This window comes from Homo sapiens, chromosome 12, assembly GCF_000001405.40.
Source record: "Homo sapiens chromosome 12, GRCh38.p14 Primary Assembly".
NCBI lineage: Eukaryota > Metazoa > Chordata > Mammalia > Primates > Hominidae > Homo > Homo sapiens.
In genome coordinates this window covers 91,032,900-91,058,337 of record NC_000012.12, presented here as the reverse complement: position 1 = coordinate 91,058,337, position 25,438 = coordinate 91,032,900, and the positions used below count along the sequence as shown (strand labels likewise).

The 25,438-nt window shown below is 34.0% G+C and overlaps 1 protein-coding gene across 1 annotated transcript, besides 1 other annotated feature; it reads left to right on the top strand.

Moving 5' to 3' along the window:
- Nucleotides 314-7,847, top strand: KERA (keratocan). The gene is made up of 3 exons (NM_007035.4): nt 314-594; nt 2,049-2,942; nt 6,820-7,847. Exons 2-3 carry the CDS (start codon nt 2,057-2,059, stop codon nt 6,990-6,992), a joined length of 1,059 nt encoding a protein of 352 aa, NP_008966.1. The 5' UTR covers nt 314-594; nt 2,049-2,056; the 3' UTR covers nt 6,993-7,847.
- Nucleotides 16,661-17,201: an enhancer, noted in NCBI's record as "OCT4-NANOG hESC enhancer chr12:91434914-91435454 (GRCh37/hg19 assembly coordinates)". NCBI's record gives its function as "activates a minimal SCP1, AML or CMV promoter by ChIP-STARR-seq in primed H9 embryonic stem cells {active_cell/tissue: H9 hESC(primed)}" and the evidence as "EXISTENCE:reporter gene assay evidence [ECO:0000049][PMID:30033119]".

Genomic DNA, 25,438 nt, shown 5'->3' with positions numbered 1-25,438 from the left:
TCATCTAGGGAAAATGTTTTAAAATCTTTTAAAATATCTTTTTGTTATACTTTAAAACTGCCTTCAGCTGCCTATTGGTAAATAAGGTCTGGATATCAGTACATGACAACATATACTAATGAATTGAACTGTGAATTAGGAATGAAAATTGCCTAGAAATTTTTTTATGAGTTATTAGGATTAAAGTAAGAATTTCCTTTGCTGGGCTGTGTAGGCACTAAGATTCCGTGGTTGTTGGAGGGGTTAAATTTGGATCTACTAGTGCATATATTTTACCGAGGATTCATAAAAACACGACAGTGGAGCCTGGGTCAATCCATTACCATGTACAAGCAGTGACCAATAGAAAAGGAAGAAGAAGATCCAAGAAGGCTGAGGTAAGCAGTCTTCTGAAGCCCTGTCAAAGTGGAAACAATAGATCAAAGGTGTTCATGGTGACTGGGACGAGTAGGTTTCACTGTTTCTCATAGACGACTTGACAGCTTAAAGTAAAAACAAATTATTTTCGTCAAAGTTTTTTTTTTTCTCTTAACTGATTTTTAGCAAACCTCAGACTGAGACACAGGACTCAACGGTGTATTCCTGGAAGGCAAGGTAAACTATTTTGCACTTTTAAAAACTCTTAAAGTTAAGCATGCAAAGTACTTATTCAACAGACGCAGGGTTACAACTTCAATAACTAAACCAAAACCCTATTCTGAAAAAGAAAAAAAAAAATGATGTTTCTTTGTTGGAACATGGCCAGAGCAGCGTTCTGCAATCCTAGAAAATTTGACAGCTTGCAGAAGCAGTTCTGCACTTGTTTTCTGCAATTTAATGGCAAAATTGAATGATCAGCATTTCATAAATGAAGTTGACTTTATCTTTTCCTAAGGAATCAGTAAAATTTATTTCATCCTATTATCAATCAGTTCAATAAATGTACATTGGTCAGAATGTTACTGATATATATATATATATATAAATATATATGTAACATATGTATGCTATAAATTATTAAAATATATATGTATATTTCCTGTTAAAATAATTATTTGTACCAATAATCTTTGATGATCAGTGGGGAGGGTTTATGTGTTTTAAATGTATCAAATATTAGTAAACGCTAACCTACTTTCCATTATCCACACTGATAATATGAATATAAAGAAATTCTCCACCCGTATCCTAAATATGTTTTTGGTTGTTTTTGTTTCTTATCAACCATAATAATGGCATAGTTGAATACAATACTCATGTACTTGTGCTATACATCACAATGTATTCAACTCTATATAATAAACTCTATCTCTATATATACATATATATACATATATAGAGACAGAATATACATATTCTCTGAGAGAGAGAGAGAGAGAGAAAGGGAGAGAGAGAGAGAATTGATAATTCAATAGCTTGGCTGAACAACTTAATTGTGTGCTTAAAATTATAGACATCTTCCCCCACCCTCAAAAAACTTACTTGAGAGGTTGAGCTAGAGAATAACAGATTAATTACATTTTTATTCAGATCCTAGAACCTTCCTTCACCATAAAGTGCTAAAATGTTCTTTGATCCCTTCATTCCTTTGGTTCAAGGGCCAAAAGGCCTAGGAAATCTCATCCAGATGTTCTGCTCATTTAAGAGTAAAAGTAAAAGCATATGCTTTCCTCTCAGGAACAACACAGATTCCCAGTTTGAGTTTTTAAAAGATCACTTTTTTGTACTCTCATATTCAACTACTGGTTTCAGTTCAGTTCTTTAAATTAAATAGCTTGAAATGGAAAAACACTTAGAGCTGCTAAAATTTTCTTTCCATTTCTCGGCTTTTATTGTGTTTGGGTTACAACCAGAAAGCTACAAGTCGGTGAATTATTCTCAATGTTTGCAAAATGCTTTGCATATGGTGCCTACTAACTAATGTATATTAATTAAGATCTGTGTATGAAATGTTGACATATTTTCACCTCTTCCCTGAAGAAGCAATGTTTACTGATCATTTTGATGTATAAAATTATCTAAAGGTCAAGATCTTCAAATATCTAACAGTTGTGTTCCTTTTTCTGTAGGTGCTATAATGGCAGGCACAATCTGTTTCATCATGTGGGTGTTATTCATAACAGACACTGTGTGGTCTAGAAGTGTGAGGCAGGTCTATGAAGTACATGATTCAGATGATTGGACTATTCATGACTTCGAGTGTCCCATGGAATGTTTCTGCCCACCCAGTTTTCCTACTGCTTTATATTGTGAAAATAGAGGTCTCAAAGAAATTCCTGCTATTCCTTCAAGAATTTGGTATCTTTATCTTCAAAACAACCTGATAGAAACCATTCCTGAAAAGCCATTTGAGAATGCCACCCAGCTAAGATGGATAAATCTAAACAAGAACAAAATAACCAACTACGGAATTGAAAAAGGAGCCCTAAGCCAGCTGAAGAAGTTGCTCTTCTTATTTCTGGAAGATAATGAGCTAGAGGAGGTACCTTCTCCATTGCCAAGAAGTTTAGAACAATTACAATTAGCTAGAAATAAGGTGTCCAGAATTCCTCAAGGGACCTTTAGCAATCTGGAGAACCTGACCCTTCTTGACCTACAGAACAACAAATTAGTGGACAATGCCTTTCAAAGAGACACTTTTAAAGGACTCAAGAATCTCATGCAGCTAAACATGGCCAAGAATGCCCTGAGGAATATGCCTCCAAGATTACCAGCCAATACAATGCAGTTGTTTTTAGACAACAATTCCATTGAAGGAATACCAGAAAATTATTTTAATGTGATTCCTAAAGTGGCCTTTTTGAGACTAAATCACAACAAACTGTCAGATGAGGGTCTCCCATCAAGAGGATTTGATGTATCATCAATTCTAGATCTTCAACTGTCGCACAATCAACTCACAAAGGTTCCCCGAATCAGTGCTCATCTGCAGCACCTTCACCTTGATCATAACAAAATTAAAAGTAAGTAACCTGCAGAGTATGTCTTTGACTAAAGGGCTCATGGTCATTAAATGTATCTTTATTTTCATTAAGAAGAGCAAATGTGTTGCCCCCTCCCCCGCTAATGTTCCTTTAGATTTTTAGTGTGTTTTCAATTTTCAGTATTAAATTTTGTCTATACGCAGACAGTCTTAATGAACCAAGAAGTCCAAATCTTCAAACTGAAGACTAAAAAGTGGACTTGAGTCATCTACAGAGGACTATTATCCATTAGAGAAACTGAATGCCTCTATCTTCTTTTACTCCAGGAGATTCCAATATTTCTGCCCCATTGGGTAGGCTTATTTAAGAAACCATACCAGGCACAAACAACCTCATGACTAGTAATAAAGAAAATATGATTTAAGAGGCATTAGGAAGGCATCTTTGTCCTAAACACTATATGACAGCTGATGCCTGAAACCCTCCTAATTGGAGTCTCTAATTAAACTCCGCTAATTACAGTGGGAGTCTCAAACAAGTGTGTAAAGGCTGGTGACTCCACCCCCAGAATTTCTGATTCAGTAGATGTGGAGTGAGACTTGAGAATTTTCATCTCTAACAGCCGTCCAGTTGATGTTCTGGGAACTACACATTGAGAACCACTACTATAGTTTAAGGCTTTATTAATTAAAATGGAAAGAAATTTCCCTGGTAGCTGGCAACTCCTTGGGACTTACAGGCAATCGTCAGGTAGAATACTCTCTCCTTTCCTGAAAAGAGCTTTTCATAAGGGAGTGAGAGATGAATTCAAAGTTTTTGGAGGCAGAGGCATCATCAAGAGAAGAAGTGATTATAGAAAGCAGATGTTGGACACATTAGAGACAAACTTGGCTTCTTCACAATTATGCATGAGACTAGGCTGGACTTGGTGTAAAAATAGGTCCAGCCACAGGGGTACGATACCTAGCCTGGCATTTATCTATGCATCTTCAAACTCAGAGTAGACCCTTTAAAAATAACTCTGGGGAGATTTCTCCAGGACAACCTAAGAAAATGCATTCCAAAAGTAATATTCAGTCAGGATAGTTTGTAAGAGAATAACAAAGATAATTTGTCAAAAGGTTGTGCTGCCTGGGTATTACTCACTAAAGCTTTTTAAGCAAATAATCACATAAACATATCATTTATAGGAACAGACTATTTTTCCACTGGGAACTGCTCAGTTATTTAAGAATTTTTGTTTTTTTGGTGGGGGGAGTTAAATAACAGTGTACTTGAGTCTACAATCCAGGAATTAAATGGCAGCCTGCCATCATAGCGGTTATTTTTCCATGGTGATGAAATGTATTGTTTAATCCTGTAGTCAAAAACAAAAGATGCAACAGAAAAAAAATGTTAAGAGATGAATCTGTTTAGCTGAATCAAATAGAACAACAACAATATTGACCTAAATACATAATTTTTCCTGACGAGTGTTCTGTGCTTCTACAGGTATATTACAGGTACATTCCTTAAAAGCCCCACGGACAATTGATGTGGGAAGTAAACTTCAAGTGACTCCACATAGAGCCCTTGCTTACAAATTATGCATTTCATCCTGAGCATTTGTGAATTAGGGTGTTTAGGAGTGAGGCAGCAGTATTTAAAACACAGTTGAGAAGTATAAGACTTTAGCTTATGGAGTATTATGTGTGTAGTATAGACCCACATTTTAGAGTTTTATCAAAGTGTTTTCTCATAGGTTTCTAATTTTCTATCGTTCTCAAATCTGAGTGTGCATCAGAATCACCTGGAGATCTTATAAACCCAGGTTGCTGTTTCCTACCCCCAGAATTTCTGACTTGCTGGGTCAGAGGTTGGGCCTCACAGTTTACTCCCCAGGTATTAATAGTATTGATGTTGCTGGCTCACGATTTGAGAACTACTATTTAATCCTTGCGAGAAACTTGTGTGATATTATTAGGAATTTCTGAAAGAGAGAAACTGAAGATCAGCTAGGGGAGGATATTTGCCCAAGGACAAAGGGTAAATGCAATAGCCAGAACCTGAGTCTGAAGTGTTTTTTTCACTCATACAGTATAATAACAATACTTTCCTTCATTGTCATGAATACAAATTTTTAAAAAATTCTATCAGTAGAAAAGCAACAAAGAGAAATCTAGTTATTTACTTTTTAATGTAGATATCAAATTTTGTCATTTCAATATTTAAGAAAATAAATATAAGAGTTTCCCTGGAGAGAATATTGATATAATAATATCACACTGTGTCAAAACTGTTTAAGTACTTGCTTCTTCTAGCCACATCATCTACTCTAGTTGTAACAAAGTGGTCTCTAAGAAACATATCTCCTCTATGAAAAGACATCAAAATTTATGAGACAGTGAACTTGTCTTAAGCAATATGATGGAAATATTTATTTTTCTGAAAACTTTCAGGGATTTAAGATTAGGTAAAAATGTTATTTACTCAACTACATTACTTTCTGGTGTTCCCTGAGAAACACTGTAATTTATGAAAATGTAATTAAATTTAGAATACTTCTTTTTTATATTCATTTATTCAGACATACATTGATTATGGGACATGAGCTTGATGAGGATAAGGGGATTGCACATCGAAAGGGACATATTCTTTTGGGCAAGAGACACATTGTAGAATTAGAAAGAATCGGCCAGGTCTCAGCTCTGCCACTTACTTTCTGAAATAAGTTGTGTGCATTTCCTTATTTCTCTGAACCAGAATTCCCACAAAATGCCCAGGTATGTAGAATAATAATATTGGCTGATAAAGCCTGTGAGATGATCAGGTGATACTTGGATGTATGTAAAAAAAGAGAACCTGATTTTATAACAACTAAACTGCTATTCAAATGAGTCATTATTTTTATTAAATTCAGTTTACAAAATGGCATAAATTCAAAGCAAAGCAACCTTGCTGGAAACATAAAATTATTCACTACAATATGAATCTATATAAAACAATAGGCCACAGAGGAGGGGCATTGCCCAAGTTCAGTGGGTCTAATCAGGGAAGATCTCTTGTTTGGAATGGTTTTGAAAAGGAATTTAAAGGTAATATATGGATTCATGGTTGAAATCAGCTGTTACAGAGTACCCTGAATTTTGCTAGTTTAACTGGCCTTCTCTCCTGTATGTTCCTAAATCTCAGCATAGTCATTGGTGCCAAGGGCTTTGATCCAAGGCAGGTGCACAATTACTCCCATCCTAACCATATGAAAAGGCTGCTGGGATATTTTCTGGCTTGAGTTCTTTGTCATTCAATTCTTAGCAAAATTTTAGTTTCCAATTAAATAAATTTGAAGATGAAGATTCAAGATTGTTTTCTGTATTGCTTATGTAAAGTTATGTTAATTGTACTTTTAAAATCATGTTATGCACACTATTTTGCATCTTTTAAGGTAATTTTCAAGCATTTTCTTTTATATTAGATTGATTTTCTACTTACCCATCCAGGATCCATCCATCCATCCATCCATCTACTCTTGTACTTACCCATTCTTTCAGTCCCAAATCTGAACTGTTGTCTCCACCTCTGATGCCCTAAATCCTACCTACAGCAATCTAAATGTGCTTTATCTTACCTGCAAATTTAGAAAACAAGTGACGTCTTATACACATTTGTTTCTATCACAGATCTTAACAGTATTTCCTTACTAGTGCTCTATACTAAGTAGCAGAACATGGACTGAGATGACTGTTAAGTTTGCTGAACTTTTGTTTGGGGGAAACAGATAGGCACAATTTCTCACTGACACAAATGTTTTGTATAACCACTATTTTCATATATTAGGCCACTAAGCCCTCCATAGGACCATGGCATTAGTTTTTTGGTCTTCCCACTGTTAGTTTCTCTTGTGTTCCAATTCATTCATCTATTCTCTTTGTCACTGTAGGTGTGAATGTCTCTGTAATATGTCCCAGCCCATCCATGCTGCCTGCAGAACGAGATTCCTTCAGTTATGGACCTCATCTTCGCTACCTCCGTCTGGATGGAAATGAAATCAAACCACCAATTCCAATGGCTTTAATGACCTGCTTCAGACTTCTGCAGGCTGTCATTATTTAAACACATTCTCACCAAATCTAAAATTAGTTTAATGAGCTGTTTCTGACATGAAATGTGGTTACCATTAATAGGTTTAGGACACAAGTCATATTCCCCATTGCTCTCGGCCACCATTTTCATTTGTGCAGTGTATTTTTTCTATTCAAAGATGCTTTTGCCAGTTACATGCATCACAGCCTGCATTAATTTGCTTTTCTTTTAATTAATAAAACAGACACAGAGTTAAGATAGTTTATCAACTCAAAGATAGTTTTATTTTGGTCTCTTCCATAGCTTATTAACACTAAAGAAAACAATTACATTCTTATACAATAAAAAGGACACATTTGTGTATGTTTAAAATTACTTATGCAGATACCGTAATTTACAGTATAAATGTAATAATCAAACAGGAGGATAACGACCTGAAGAAAATGAGAAAATAAAATATTTCTTAATTGTAATCATAATAAAACAATTGCAGATTGCTAAGTAGCTGTTGGTGGTACAAGTTTGATATTTAGCTTGAGAATGGGTATGGAATGAATCAAATACTTCATCACTAAAGAATTCTTGTTATTTAATATCAAATAATGAAACAGCAGTCACTTCTAGTTCATTACCATTTCTTGTAGCTGTTGTTTTTAGATATAGTCCACTGCATTCTTATAAGTTCTAAATTTTATGTTTATTATAATGCATTTCTTGTGGAATCTTAGTGTTTTAACATTTGAAATCCACTTAAACTGCAAATTGTTCTTTATATTTGATTGTGTTTTTTGGATTTTCTAAATAAAAATATTGAATGCTTTCTAACAAAACAGAATATTTCAAAGAAATTAGCAAGCTTCATTAAAGAACATGTTTTAATAAAAATGTGTTATAGTAAAAATTATTTTCATTTTTCTGGCATAAATATATTCAAATATGTTTACTCCTACCTTCATTTTCCTTTTCTTCCAGAAAACATAAAAAAGTTTTTATTCTAATCACTTGACATATTTCTGATTTTTGTGAATTAAGAAAAACAGAATTTCATTAAGTAACAAAGTACCGTGTACTTTACATTAGCCTTATGACTTTACAAACATATGTTATAAGCAATCTGTATTCCATAAAGATCAATGGATGCCTTTATATACATTTTCCCAACAGTATTCTTTAAAATCCTACAAATCTGGCATATTTCCACAGAAAAATGATTATATATATTTGTAAAACACTAGGTTAAAAATGTCCAATTGTTTACTTCAAAGCCTCTCAGAAACGTAATATGCTATTTTATAATGTAAATTTCCAAGAAAATAATATAATGTGCAACTACGTTTTTACACCAAATTTATTTGAGGGTGAAGAAGAACCAATCCTTACTATAACCTTATACAAAACTTACTACTTATTTTTACACCAAAACTTATTTGAGATTGAGAAAGGAGAACCGATCAACAAACTTTGAACATAGTTTTTAAAATGCTGGCTGAAAGTAATAAATCAAATCAATTGACATTAACAAAAAGAAAAGTGTTTTAAATGACCTCAAAGCACATAAATAAAATTATAAAAATTATGTCATAAAAATAGAAGTAATCAGATATCATTAGACTGAGAAAAAATATGTGAAGGGGAACATAACTTTAAATATTTGAAAACATGCCATTTGAAAAGGGCACAAAACATATGCCAGGAAGCCCCAAAATGAAGAGTAGAACATATGGTTAAAATTGATAAGAAGTCATATTTTGGCTCTAGTTAAGAAAGAATTTTCTGATATTGTTCCAAGTCACCCAGCAATGGAAGTAACTTTTCTTGAGGTAGAGTTACCCACCTCTGGACTTCAAACAGTGAATAAGTGGTAATTCAAGAGGCAGAGTATAAAATGGAGTCCTATGTGGAAATAACATTGTCATGGTATGTTTCTCCAAGAACTTTTCAACTCTAAGAATTTTCTACCTTCCCTCCTTCTTTAAATATTTCTTGAGTACCATATATATGACTGTATTACACACAGATGAAATAATATTGTTTATGGTTTATTCTACAGTGAGACACAAATTAACTGAAAATCACAAAAAATATGTACAATTTCATATGTGATAAATATTAACAGACAGCTGCATGCTGCGAAGGAATTAATAATAGTGATTTGAGAGAAGGATTCCCTAAAGAAATAATGATTAAGGAAACATATAAAAGACTAAAAGTACTTAGCAGCACAAGGTAGAAGGGAAGAATATTCCACGCCGAATTTAAAGATTCTAGTCCTTAGGAATAATTTGAAAGTCACTGAAGAGTTTTAAATCATAAGGGATTATTTTCATTGTAGAGTAACATCATGCAGTGGTAAAGAACACTAACATTGAAGCTAAAGTTGCTGAGTTCAAATCCCAGCTTTGCCACTTACTGGCTTCATATCCTGGGCAGAACCTTTAAATTATGTATGCCTCAGTGTTCTCTTATCTGTAAAATGGAGACAGGTAATGGCATCTACCATACCGTGAGGATTAAATGAGTTGAAATATGTAAAGTCCCTTGAAGAGCACCTGACCCATGGTAAATACTAAGTAAGTGTTATTTATTATTATTACTGTGTGCATGTGTATGTTTCTCCTTGGCACTGTGAATAAAACAGTTTGCAGGGAACCAAAAGTAAATGTTCAGAGATTGGTTAGAACTTCAGTCTTACAGTACTAGCTAGAAAAAAAAAAAAAGGAAGTTTGGATTATAAGGTTGTGGTGGAATTAGAGGTAAGTGGACAAATATGAAAGTATTAGAAGGTAAAATTGTCAAGACTTGGTGGCAGATTGTATAAAGGGGAGTGAGAGGAACGAGGGTATTAAAGTTTCTGGCTTGCATGACAGAATAGACGGCAGTATATTTTCTAATAGAGATACATTTAGAAAGAATTATGAGTTTGTTTTTACACATAGTTTGAACAAGTTCAAACTATGATTGATCCAGAAGAAGATGTCATATAAGTTATTGAAAGAGGTCTGGATGAATATATAAACATGTGGTATAATTTTCTAGACTTTGTTAATCTATTCAATAATTTGGAAGAATTTTGCACTTAAACATTCATACTCCCATGAGGTAAGACTGGTCAGAGACAGGGGACAGATTAGGAGAATACAGACATCATTCGGAGTATTGACATGTGAAGCTAAGAGTAATGGAATCACTTTCTTCATACAATTTTTTGACATATGTACAAAGCTACTATAGGTTCCCTGAAGCTTTCAAATGATATACTGTTCTCTTTCTTGATGTTACGTACAATGTGACTATCATTCTTAAAACTCAGGAGTAATAACTAGGAGATAAGTTCAAGCCATTTTGTAAATTATGGCTCTTATAAATGTTCAATCCATCATTTAATGGACCTACTTAAAATACAATACAAAACAAAACAAAATAATATTATCTATAATCTTTCCACGTAAATATCATAAACTTAATTCATAAGCAAGAAAAAAGGGCACAAATCAAAGAAAAGAAATATACAAGGATAGACTGAGCAATTTATTTGCAAATGATGTTTTAAAAAATTAAGATAGATTTTTGGTGGTTAAAAATATTGCAACAGAATTATCTTATTTAACTCCTCCAAATACCCTTAAAAAACCTAGATAGGACAAATGGTATGGAGGAAAAAAATTCCAGATGACATATTTGATAAGACTTGTGTCAAAGAATTCAGCAAATCATCAAAATAATTGAGTGTAAAAATGTGTGTGTGTGTGTGTTTAAGAAGTGGGAAGAAATGTGTTTTTCCTACTCTGACACATTCAACAGAACACTACACCTCTGGTCACCAAAATGTGAGGGAATTTCTCCCCACCCACCAAAAACTAATTCTCTGGCAGACAGAAGCTGGGTATTCCATAATTCAATTCAATTCTGGAACTACCTACCTGGAGACAGTGTCAGGTCTCACAGGTTAAGAGTTTAGTCCCACAAAACTGCCCCAGGCTCCAACTTCAGACGTCAAAGGCAAATAGTAGATTTTCACCTACATGTCCAACTAACCAGCTATAAATTGGAGTTTCCGCAAGCCCCTCATCAGGTTTGATTAATTTGCTAAGGTAGCTCACAGACTAAGTGAAACACTTTACTTACATTTATAGATTTATTATAAAAGATATTACAAAGGATACAGATGAATAGCCAGATGGAAGAAATGCATAGGGTAAGTATACAAAAAGGGGCATGGAGCCTCATGACACCTCCAGGTGCTCAGCAAACTGGAAGCTCTGGGACTGCGTGCTTAAGAGTTTTTATGGAGGCTTCATTATGTTGGCATAATTGATTGCATCACTGGCCATTAGTGGTCAACTCAACCTTAAGCCTCTCTTTCCTCACCGACGGTCATGGCAGATGAAAGTTTAAACCCTTGCAAGCCAGTTGTTTCCTGGGCAACTAGCCTCCATCCAGAGGCTATCAAGGAGTTGCCTCATTAGAACAAAAGATGCTTCAATCACCCAGGATATATCAAAGGATTTAGGAGTTCTGTATCAGGTGTTCCTATCATTCAGAAAATTACAGAGATCTTAAGAGCTGTGTCAATAACTGGGATCAAAAACCAAATATTAGAACAAAAGATTATCCTATTGCCCCCATCTACAAGAGTTTTAGAAGCTCTATATCTGGAAGCCAAGGGCCAAGACATTAATCTCTCTCTCTCTCTCTGTGTATATATATATACACACATGGTAACTACTAAGTGTTATTTATTATTATTGTGTGCATGTGTATGTGTATATATATGTGTGTGTATATATATATGCACAAACACACAAACATATACACATACATGCACTAATATTTCTTATCATAATATGGGTATTTGATAGATTGATGGGTAGATAAAGATACTTAAAATTTACAGTGCTCTAAGAATGGTGCATTGCCTAGGAGGAGTGTAAAGTTTATTGGTTACAGTTAGGTTATATGTCATAAAGGATGGATGCATTTTTTTGTTCAAAGTTAACCAGAGCATATAGGTAGAGAACGTATAACTGTCAAACTAATACAATGGAAAAAAAAAGAGTGAAAAGTTATTTACGGAATCCAAAAGAAGGGAAGAACAGAAAGTTAAAAAAAACAAGTAGAAAGCACGTTGTAAAATTGTACATTTCAACCTACATATATTGGTAATTACATGTACAGTGGCTAAGAACTTGTGCTATGGAGGGAAAAGATGAAGTTTCAAATCCACCCTGTGCTGTTACTAACTCTTTGATCTTTGGTAAATGTCTTAACATTTCTAAGAATTGCATCCTCATCTGTAAAATAAAGAACAATATCATCTATCTTACACAGTTGCTGTGAGAATTAAGAGAGAATAGATGTAAAACTTTTCATCATCTGACACATAGAAAATACCCAATAAATGATAGGTTGGAATTTTTTTATTAGGAGGGACTCTGATACACACAATTGCATAGACTTTCTCCACCAGATCAGACCATTTTATGAATAAAAAACTGAGAAAAATAAATGGTGAACTCATCCATGTCAAAGGTTTTAAATTTTTATGCAATGCATGGGTAAACAGACAAGTGAAGTTGAGGGTGATAGAATGGGGCTAGTGAACTATGAAGTTGAAGTTGGATAGTGAAAAAAATAATGAGATCAGGAGGCGACAGACAATTGGGAGAAAAATACTGAAGGCTCAGTAGGTTGAAGTACGGGTATGAGAGGCATTAGGGCATATATAAGCTGGAAGAAAAAGAGTAACCTGAGCCTGGGAGCCTACAGCTGAAGATATCTTAACAGGCTCAATGTTGAGAGATGAAAAGATTCTGGGTGTGGTCATAGGATGGGACTCCCAAAATTAAGAGGAAGTAAGTCACGAAGTCAAAAGATCAAGGAACTCGGATTTGGTAGGAATCTCTGATGCAAGTGATCATTATTTACTTTAGAACCCAGGAAAGAAGAGAGCACAAAATGATGAAAATTTTGAACTGTTGAAAACAAATAGTTTGAATGTCTTGTTCAGTGTCACATAGCTGCTGAAAGGCAGATACAGGATTCATACCTAAGCAGTCTGGCTTCAGAGGCCCTGTTTTTGACCACTATGTTATACTAATTCTAATGATAAAATATGTCATTATAACTGAAAAAAAGTTAAAGGATTATTATAGGATAATACATATAAATACATAGAAATTATTAAAACACTTGTTTAAAAATTATTTGTCTCATTGAATGAAAGTTTGCACAACATCTGCAGCACTGCCTATAACGAAGGTGATTTATGGCTTAGCAAAACAGTGAAATGTCATATTTACCAAAAATTCTAAAGAATTTATGTTCTTTATGCAGCTGTGACAGATCTCAGGACATTTTGCCGAGAATATTTCTATACTGGGAAAAGAAAGCAAATAATATATGAGCACATTGTAGAAAAAACTGTGAAGCAAATATAACATGATTTGGCAAATCACAGAATTATTATCTTTGTATTTGTTTTTATAACTCTCAAAAATATTACTTTCTTTGTGACATTCAGCTGAGCAAACAAAATTCAAGTGTAGAAAAAGATTCATTGTCTTGAGTTCTTAACGCTTTCTTAAGACAAGTTAAAGTTGTCCTGGAAAAAGATCAGAACCGTAAAATGACTAGCAGAACTGTGTTTTGCAAAAGTCATCTGAAAAGCTATCCATTGTTTATATTATGGTGCCAGGATTTGTTTCCAATAGGGCAAGAGTTCTGCCATATATTCAATTTTCTGGCCTCTCACTTACATTAAAAATGACATAAAAAAAGCTGTTGGTTAATGGGAGTATAAACCAAGTACATGATTCAGGTTCAAAGGTAGAGACTCTGCCTTCAGAGAAATGGAAACAGACATGGAACAAACAAGATTTCTACACAAGATAAGCTACTTCTGCATAGTAAGATCATGTACAAGGTCTTTATATAGCTAAGAGGAAAGAGACAAAATGTTTTGAGTTACTTAGTACACCAGCGTATCAAAAAGCAAGGATGGCGAGGTATATTTCGAAGAGCATAGAGACTGTTGACTCTGATACAAATGAGTTTGAATTCTCTATCTGCTAAAGGAACTGAGCAAGTTAATTAAACACTTGCAACATTGGTTCTTTAATTACAGTAGGCAAAGAATAATATGCTTTGCCTGAGAGTCCTCTTAGAGTAATAGTGTAGTTAAGATGCCTAAATATACTAGGTGCTGATGAACAAGATTATTATCATTAATATTATTGGTATTATTAACATTTGAATTTCTTAAACAAAGATGCACTGAAGAGATTTTAGATGGCCATATACCTGGAACAATATGTGACAGAGTTAGAATAGTCAAATGCTAATATTAGAGTCTAGGTGCTTGGTATATAGGTATTCATTGTAAAATTCTTTCAAGTTTGTTGTCTCAAAAGTTTTATCATAAAAGTTTGGCAAAAAATATATATAGAGAGAAAAAGACTTGATAATGTATTAGTTATTTTCCCTTATAATATACTAGTGGTTTGTACAGGTTTCCAAATACTGATCACAATACTGTACTTACCTAAAATCTTTAAATGCAAATTTCTTTATTTTAATGAAGCTGTCCAGTGTTTACTCAGACCATATTTCTCTCTTTCAGGACACATCGTGGAATTAAACTTTCTCATCTTCATGAAAGAAAACAAAGAAACCATAAGAATATTTCTGGTCACTGTGCAGTAACTGGAAGTGACAGATATTACTTCCGGGTCAAAGAATTGCATTGCTCAGGTGCAACTCTCTTTTCCTTTCCACTGTTGTGGAGAGAGGGAAAGTCTGCACGTTTCAGGTGACAGATGGCAGAAGGTCTGCCATTCTATTAGTCTGGCTGCCTGAGAGATTACATAAGGCAGACCTGCTCTGCTGACTGATACAAGAACGTGTACCACATGAGAGAAATTAACTTTTGTTGGAGGGGGGGTATTAAGCCACTGAATTTTGTAGTATATGTCATTACATCATAACAGTCTATCATGAATAATTCATTCATATTTTGCATATCTTTTTAGTGACAGGAATTGATAAATTATGAAAACCTAATGCTATGAAATTAGTACAGCATTTCCAATTTAAGGTTAAATTTGTCTCTAAATGATGCGTGAGCTTTGTAAAAGTCCAATAGCTAAGCTTCTAGTGAGAACAGTAATTTACTGCCCTACCTTTTCTATCCCAGTCCTACTCCCTAGAAATAACAGTTCTTAGTATTTACTGTTTTTGTGAAGTTATCTACATACTGCTAATAATATGTTTTTATCTTTCTTGATTTGGCAGCTTTAAGCAACCTGTGTTGATTCTGTTATGGAAGATCATTGAGCACACGTATACTTATCTATTTCCTTCTTTCTTTCTATATTTTGATAGCTGTGTTAATACTTGAATTTCTTAACTTAGTTAATAAACTTTGGGAGGAAAAAAAACTCTCATACTTCTATTTCCAGTTGCAACAACTCTACAAGTCCATCTCAATTGTTCTCTTTGTGAGAGGAGGTAATTTTCTAACCATCCTGTCTACTTTGACATCATCTTTTGTCAGATATACCTTTATATTCGTGGTCAAAGTTGTTCAAACTTATACTGTACTAAAGCATCAATGAGGTTTGCAATACATTTCCTATAAATTGATTCTAAAATGTGAAAGATTAAAAAAAGGACAGTCACAGTATGAGTATCTAAATATTGTTTTTTTTCTCCTGGGTTCCAATAGGAGATTGAATCCCTTTTCTGTGTTCATTCCTGAGCAGACATTAAACTGCAGCCTTGTCCTCTCTAATTAACGAATTAACACATTTCCACCTTGTTTCCATTATCATCCAAAGAGATGTTGAAATCTGTCTTCCACCGTTGACCTCCCCTTCAATTCTCTTTGCAGTAATGGATTTATTCCTTATAAAAATTCTGCACAATGACTTCGGTGAGATTCTAGGAGGAATATGAGGCAAATATGTTTAGACAGCATCTTCTCTGTTTTTTATTACCTTGATTAAAGACTTAATGCCATGCAGGTGTTTGATACCTCCCACTTGAAATATCTTCATGAGTCCTGGGAAAAGGAAGGAGAAGTGTTTGTGAAAGTGTTAAAAATAGGGAGTTAAAGGTAAAGGTGCATGGAGTAAAGCATCAAAAGAGAGCTACAGACAGAAGGGAAAGCGATTATGTATGGTACCATGGGTCGCTTAACTGAGCTAACTAAACCTAAATGAATTCTGACTACATTTGGACTTGCATATGTAGAGGTAGATATTAATTTCACTTTTGAGAGGTAAGTACCTTTCAGTGAATATTATTTTTATGCTTTTAGAAATGTCTTATTTCTCCACTTGGTCTACATAAGAAACTTTGCTCAAATGTCCCACTGATAACCCAACAACCACCCCCACACCTCCTTTCCCTATACTTTCACTCTCTAATGCCTAATAGTAGTAGGATTCCTCTTTCCTCTAATTGTGAGATTTTTTGTTTCAGTTAAATATTGAAACTACTTTGAGTTGCTTTCCAGTTTTCCTTCAAATCTGTGGAACTCCAAACAACTGCTTTCCAAATGTATTGTTTAATGTGCTTCTTTCTTCTCAAAACACTAGAATTCATAGATTTTTTTAACATGGTAGGTGTGTTAGCTTTCTAGGGCGGCCATAACAAAATCACAGATTTGGTGACTTAAATAATAGAAATGTATTTTTTTCACAGTTCTGAAAATTTAGGATCTAGAAATTAGGATCTAGACAATTTAGGATCCAGTTCGATTTCTCCTGAGTCCTCCCTCCTTGGATTGCAAATGGTTGTCTTTCTTTGTGTCTCATAGCGTCTTTTTTCTGTATGTGCACTTCCCTGGGGGTTCTCAGCATATTCAAATTTCCTCCGCTTGTAAGCACAAGAGTCAAACTGGACCCACTCTAAAGACCTTTATGAGGTGATTAAGCCATGAGTGCTCCTCCTTTGTGATTGGTATTAAGATTCTTATAAAAGGAACATCAAGCAGTGTTTGATCTCTTGCTCTTCTGACTTTCAACATGTGAGGACACAACATTCCCTCCTCTGGAGAATGCAGCAACAAGAAGCCATCTTGGAAGTGGAAAGACCAGGCCTTCAGCGGCTGATACCTTAATCTTGGACTCCCAGCCTCCAGAACTGTGAGAAATGAGTTTCTGTTCTTTGTAAATTACCCACTCTCAAGTATTGTTAGAACAGCTCAGAAGGACTAAGACAGCATCCGAAAATGTAGTGTTTCCTTTACTTACTAATTTAAACATTTTGAGTAACTAACAAAGGTACACAAAATTAGATTACATGTGTGTATTACCCATATTTTGGCAGATCAATTATTACTACTATACACAAGAATTCATGCTAGAAGTTTTAGTGCTTACAGGACAGACAACATTAAGTTGGTGTAGTTTGAAGATTGATACAATCGTTTTGTTTTTTTCAAAAGGTTAAAGGCAAGACATCCCAGAAAAAGGAAAACACATCAGTCATGTCTAGATTCAACCTCAGTTATCAATCCTTCAAAATATGTCAAACTTTAAATATAGGCATACATAATTTCTGATAGAAATAAAACTAATTAATAAAGTGAGTAAAACCAATCCATTGCTTATGAAAATTGAAGCTTTTTACCCTCACAATCTAGGCAAACAAACTTTTAAAAGAATGATCAGTGTAAATTTTCAGCACTAACGATCAAGATATTTCAATAATTTCTAAGTTATCTGACAGAATATTTTGGCCCTAAGGAATAATTCCAAATGTTTGGTGAAAGATCTCAACAGAATAAAATGAGAATTGCCACATCAAAGCTTCTGTGTTTATAAAAGAAACAGCTGTGACTAAGGGGCCTGAGGGCAATGAATTAATATTCAAGGTTTTCCTTCTCAAACAGAGTTATGAATTTGAACATGTTCACAAGAAAATATAATAAGCTCACAGTCATTTGAAATGATCTTTACAGATGCCATGTAAATATATACCAATCAGCTTTGCAATTAAATACCATATAATTAGTTCAGGGACTTCATGCCAAAAGTATGTTGTAATTTTACTAAATTTAAATTGTGCACAGTGGTAAATGAGAATGAATGTTCCAAAATGATAGCCCATTTTGCATATTTTACTGCACACACATGCATGCACATACACATACACACATATACAACAAAATCAAACCAATGCAAATCTGGAAAGAATTGTATGGTCTCCATTATTGGCAACTCTAAAGGAAAATTTCACAAGAAAAATTAGTTTTACATTTAATTTCTCATATTTTATGTACCTCCAAAAAAAGTTGGCAAACAAAATTTGTTTTAATGTATGATTTGTTAAAATCAGAAGAATACTTATTCTACAATCATATTGTAAAAATGCCCTAATATTCATTCTGTATCTATTTTATTAAATGGCAAGTATTTTGATTCCAGATGGTACATATTACACAATGTCATTTATCAAAATTGTATTTATTCCAAGCACATAAAACTCTTTAAAAAATAACTTCTCTGGGCCAGGCGCGGTGGTTCACGCCTGTAATCCCAGCACTTCGGGAGGCCGAGGCGGGCGGATAACGAGGTCAGGAGATCGAGACCATCCTGGCTAACACGGTGAATCCCCGTCTCTACTATTAAAAACAAAAAAATTAGCCAGGTGTGGTGGCGGGCGCCAGTAGTCCCAGCTACTTGGGAGTCTGAGGCAGGAGAATGGTGTGAACCCAGGAGGCGGAGCTTGCAGTGAGCAAAGACCGCACCACTGCACTCCAGCCTGGGCAACACAGCGAGACCCCATCTCAAAAAAAAAAAATTCTCTGAATTGTTCCTTTTTAAAATTCTATTTTTCCCCCCTGTTTTTGTGGTGGTGGTGGTGATACTAATTTCTGATAGGGTGACATCTAATAGTATATTTGAAAAGAAATAAATATTCAGAGACCGGTATTCTTTTTCTCTAAGTAGAAAGTCAGCCTCTACTCACAATTCTTTTAATAAGCATTTATTGAGCCATATACTTTGTCAAAGGGAGTGTGAAAAGCTATGTAATACAGTGGCTACAAAAATCATCAAGATGACAGAAAGGGCAAAGAAAACAATTAGTCTAAAGTGAGCAGAAGATAATTTGTCAAAAATATTATGCTATGCCTATATGACATTTAAAAAAATCAGAAACTAGAACTCCTACCAGAGTCTTAGGTCCTAGTAGAATAAGTTTCCTGTAATCAGTTCGGCCCTTGTCTAAGAGGGTAGTATAGTCATTGAGTTTATAGCTGAGATTAAAACGAAAAATAAATTTAAAGAAAAAAATGCTGTTTTTAATCACCAAAAGTAAACTGGAAAGTGTATAGATAACTTTGTAAGTATACATGGATCTAATTCATGTTGCCCATGAATAGTAAATAGTAATAGAAACTTTAACTATGTAAATAAGCCAGTAAAATTATTATAAATAAGAAATCAAAGATGTTAATTCTCAGTCTTCAAAGTAGAGAAAATAAATTGTAGAATCAAATAAGACAAAAGAAATTTGACCCACTTCTATTTCTAGTTTATTTTAGCCACAGGGAATGTGTTCTCACATCCTATAATTGTTGACAAGTAAATAATAGATTATATTTGTCAGTCACAGCACGGACTCACTTCTTGTCTGATTTCAGACTCCTTATAACATATCTAGACTATAATGCTTTCATTAGTTAAGTGTGATTAATAACAGATGCTATAGTAAAAATCATCGATTAGCTACACTAAAATCCATTCCCAAATCCCAGTTTCTATTTCCCATTTCTCTATAGAGACTGGAAAGGATAAATTACTTACTTCCCAATTCTCCCTTTGTCCTAATTTTATATATCCATAAATTAGATTCTGAGACAAGGATTTAGGTGTGGACAGCTAATATAAGTTATCCCTGGAGTAAATTAAGGGGTAATTGAGGCAGAAAAGCCAGAAAAATTAATGAAGAATGTGGTAATGAATGTACCACGTTCAACAACTGAGGATGAAACACAGTGGGGGCTGTCTGAAAGACTATGTAGGACACCTCTTGGAAATATCCAGTGTGGGGTGGGGAAGCTATGGACTTTATATAATTACTCCCATTGTTACCAATTCAATTTCTCTTCTCTATAAAATGGGCAGTTGAACATGACTGCATCAAGAGTAATTGGAGGTGAAGGCATAGTTTGAAAAATGTCATGTTAAAATATGTGCTTTAATGTGTATATAGCATTGCAAATTTGTCCCGGTAGTAGATACAGTACAGAATTTAATAGGGTACCCGAGTTTTAACTCATTCTGGCCTTGCCACTTGCTGATAGCAAAATGGAATAGTCTTTCTGTCTGGGCCTTAGAATTTTTTTTATTAAATAATGGTGAGCTTGAAACACTGATGAAACTAACTGCTCTTCCAGTTCTAAGTTCCAAGGGTATTTGATTGAATACATTTTTAGGAGGTTTCCAATAATTCTACTCTTTCTAGTTTGGGCCCCAAAATCTTCATGTCCACATTTACCTTTTTTCATTAAATAGAAAACAGAATGTCTTTCCAATGTCAGGAAACCATCTGTAAAGTGAATAAATTATCACTGCTAAAACAAAATCTCTCCACAGGAGAAGACAAATCATCTGTTAAAGTAATTGGACAAGCTCACAAATGTTCATTATAGTTCATGTAGTACAAGCAATATTACCTCAAGGTTTGGAAAAAAGTTACTCAATGTTTAATTTTGAATTTTAAAAAGAAAGAAAGAAAAGGAATGATAGCATGTGTAAGTAATAAAAAAAATCCCAAACAAACCCAGATCCTCAAGAAAGACTTATGATTAAAATTGTTTCCCAAAATACCATATTATTGATGCCAGATGTTAATCATGAAAGCAGATAATAAAGAACTCATGGAGAGAGAAAGCTGCATTTTAAACAGTAGGAAGTTAACTTATGAAAATAAAGAGCCAGAGCAAGTCTGGTTAGGCAATAAGCCTTCTGTAACATATTAAAACATTTTTTCCATTGACAACCATAGTTTATATAGTTAAAATCTTTTTTGCTGGATGAAATACATAAATTTTGGATAGAGTTTTAGGCTGCCAGAGGTTAGCAGCCATATGATTAAAGCTAAAAGAAGGTTACTTTTAAGAGATTTCTAAGAGTGTTTCTTTTCTGTGCACTTTATTTTCCTGTAATGCGATTAGTCTCAATTATCACCACTAGCTATATCTCTAAATTCTGCCTTTCTCTTAAAATTCAAATCCATGTTGCAGAGCTTTTGTAACATCTTGACATGATTGCTACTTAAGCACCACCAGTTTGGTATGCCCAAACTTAGCTTCTTTTCCCTAAAAGTTCTTTATTCTTGCTAATTTCTCTTTTAATCAATGATGCATATTTTCATTCAATCATTTTTTCCTTCATTTAATCATCTCTTTAGTCATTGAACATTTAGTGTCTTCCAGGAAGTAGATATATTTGTAAAAGCTACAGCATGTACACAGAACAATGGAATTATAGTGCCTGTTCTCAAGGAGTCTCCAGAGGATTGTCATATATGGTAGTTACAATACAATGGAACAAGTACATCATTGGTGTTAATGAAGCCTACAGCACTTGTTTACTCTAAAAATTCTCAGGAAGGTACATTGGATAGAGTCAAATGACTTGAAAGTTGAATGACTTTTTCACAGACTACAAAGAGAAGCAGTGATACAGTATAAACCAATCAAAGAGATGGGGGAAGTGAAGTGTAGCATGTCTAAACTCTAGATTCCTGCTTCAGAGGGTATCGTTCCAGTTATCCCCATTTTTTTGTGTGTTGTTATCACATATATTACATCTACATATGTTATAATTCCCACAGAAGAGCATTATAATTTTTGCTTTAGGGTCATATATAATTATTTTAAATAAGTAGAATAAAATATTGTTGCATGCTTATGTATATATTTTTCATTTATGATGTGCCACATTTCTTTCTGCAGCTTCAAACTTTTCTTTCAGACTGAAAAAAAGTATTAGCACTTCTTCTAGAAGTACTGAACACTGCCGACCTACTCGTTTTGAAAATTTATTGAAAATGCCTTTATTTTACTTTTATTTTACATTTATTTTTAATTATTGTGGGTATATGATGGTTACATATATGTATAAAGTACATGTGATATTTTGTGTACTGATAAAATCAGGGTAATTGTCACATTAGGTATTTAGCTCTTCTTTTTGTTAGGAACATTCCGATTTCACTCTTTCAGTTATTTTAAAATATATAATAAATTACTGTTAACTGTAGTCACGGTATTGTGCTACCAAATCCAGGATCTTATTCATTCTATCAATCTGTATTTTTGTACTCATTAACTATCCTCATTTTATCCCTGTCTCCCCATGACCCTTCCCAGCCTCTGGTGACCATCATTCTATTCTCTATCTTGGTGAGTTTGATTTTTTTTTTTAGCTCCCACATATGAGTGAGAACATGTGATATTTGTGTTTTTCTGCCTGGCTTACTTCCCTTATTTTTGGATAATTATTTTTTTCTGTATATTAACTTCATAGTAGACATCATTTCAGCACTTAAAGATGTCACCCCGCTATCAGCTGACCTCTATTGTTTTTTATCAGAAGTCTGTTGTTATTTGTATTGTTAATCCCCTATAGATAATATATCAAATCTGACATATTTTCCTCTGTCTTCTTTTAGGATATTCTCTTTATTTTTTATTTTTAACAGTTTATCACTTAATAAAACTAGTTGTGTGTGTATGTGTGTGTGTGTGTTTTGTATGTATCTTGCTCGGGGTTTGCTGAGAATCTTTGATATGATGGTAGCTGTTTGTCACCACCTTTAGAAAAAATTTCAGGCATCTTTCCTCTGTTATGGACTAATTTATATTCTCCCCAGATGTATATGTTAAAGCCCTAACTCCCAATATAACTATATTTGGACACAGGCACTATAAGGAGGTAATAAAGATTAAATAATGTCATAGTGTGGGACCTTAATTCAATAAGACTGATGGCCTTGAAAAAAAAAAAGAGAGACAGAGACAGAAGCAACACAGATCTCTCTCTCTCTCTCTCTCCTCTCACGTGCACAGAGAAGAGGCCATATGTGAGGACACAGCAAGAAGATGGCCATCTACAAGTCAGGAAGAGAAGCCTCAACAGAAACCTACCCTCACCTGCCAGCACCTTGATCTTGTACTTCTAGTCTCTAAAATTGTAAGAAAATAAATTTCTGTTGCTTAAACTACCCAACCTGTGGTATTGTGTCCCAAGGACACAACTATGTCCTCTAAACATCTCCCCAACTCGTTATTTCTCTCCTTTCCTTCTCGGATTTCAGTTATGAATATCTTAGACCCCTTGATATAATCTCAAAAATCACTGAGACTACTGTTTTATTTCCAACTTCTCCTCCGTCTTTGCTATTCAAATCTGATATATTTTTAAAATTCACATATTCTCAAACTTCGTAACCATTTATTCTGCCATATATAGCAACATTTTTAATACTACATATTGTTTTGCTCATTTGGAAAATTTCCATTGGGCTATTTTCTAGAGTGTCTTTTTTTTTTCAGAGATCCCTTATCTACCTATTTATTATGACCATATTTTGCTCAAGTTCTCAAACTTTTTTATCTATAATTATTTAAGTTTTTGTAATTTAATTTTAATATTCAAGGTATTTTACCATTGGTTTCTGTTGACTGCTTTTTCTCTTAAATATGGGTTGCAATTTATTTTTTCCATTGTCTACTACCTTTTCATTGCATCGTGAATATTGTTAATAACACATTGTAGAGACTGCAGTTTACCTTTTTTTAAAAGATTTTTTGTATTCTAGTAGAATAAATTATTAACTTGCTTGATTCAGACTCAAAATTCTGATTTTCTAGAAGTGGGCATCAGTTGAAACTATGCATTTATCTCAGTCTTCCAGCTGTTGCTTTTCACTAAGTTCTCTGAAGTTTCCCCTGTATGTGTGCAGTTCAGTAGTTAGAAAATAATTTTGGTGGAATACATGTACAGATGTGGGGCTCTTTACTCTGTTATTCCTTCTTTCGGGGTCTCCTTTCTTACTCTTCCCAACTCAGCAAAATTCCAGCTTGTATTATATATCAACTTAACCGTACCTCGGACACATCCAATTTCTTCACTTTTTTCTTTTCTTTCTCTTTTTTTGTGGTCTTCAGTAAGTTGTATGTTGTAAGTACTTGTTTATTTCACATTGTTTTTTAAAATGTATTTGTATATATTCTGAGCCTTTGGTTGCACTATTGAGTGATATATCATACAGAGTTTGGTGCATGGCCTGCCTCTAGACTCTGAGTTGTGATTTACATAATATTACCTTAGCAGTCATAAATTTGAGTCAAATTGAAAATTTTGTTTGTCTCATAGCATTTTGACTAAAGAATATGTAAACAAAAATGCTGATATAAATTTAGTTGTTAAGATTGAGAATTTTTACGTAAAATGTATTGTTTATAGATTGCCATCAAATAAAATTTTTCAGAAAAAACGACAATTTCTCTGTTTGAAATGTTTCTATAACCGACACCAATTCATAGCATGGAAATTTTGAGTATTTTGTTAAAAATTTTGAAATAATTTATCTTAATTTATCCCTTGTAGATGCAAGTAAAATATAATTTTTCAAGTTAGCTGCAAACAGTGAGGTCAGGGGTAGCTTATTACAAGGATCCAATGGGGAATATATTGTGAGGAAATATGAAACTAAGGCACGCAAACTTAGAATAAGAAAAATCATAGTTGTACAAGGCATCACAAAGACTGAAACTAGATTCTAAGAAGATTTAGATAATTCAGTACTGGTTAGCCTTTAATTTATAGCTACTATCTCTAGACATCTGTTCTTCATTCCTTCCCCAAAACCAACTTATTTCCTGAATTGCTTCTGCTTCCTCCTCACTTTGCGCTTCTTATGATTTCTCATGTTTCTGTGCCTTTTAAGCTTCAGATCACTTTGCCTATGAATAAAGGTTCTGGATTAATTGAGATACATGCAGTTACAGTTAATAGAAACCCAGAGCAAATTAGCATTATCAGAAACCACAATTTATTGGTGTACAGAACTGATATGTAAAAGTTTATTATTGAATTCTGGAATAGTTGTAACAGGGGCTTAAATAATCTCTTTCTCTGTCTCAAACAAGTTTGTTCCATGTAATGGACTAGATTGACACTACCAGTTCTAGAACTGCATTTCATATAGTGACCTAGATGGAAGGGAATGTATATTCCAATTGCTTCAATATAATATCCTCAAGGAGGATTCTGATGGACATAACATATTATGAGCCCATCTCTGAACGAATCTTTGTGTCATACCTGTAGTAGTGGGGGCAGGACCAGTTTCAGGCCCTCCTGAACCATATTCAACAGGTTTCTCATAAGTAAGATTGTTCTATATCTAGAAAAAGATCTGGAAATAATTATTAGACATTAACAAAAAGAAAAGAA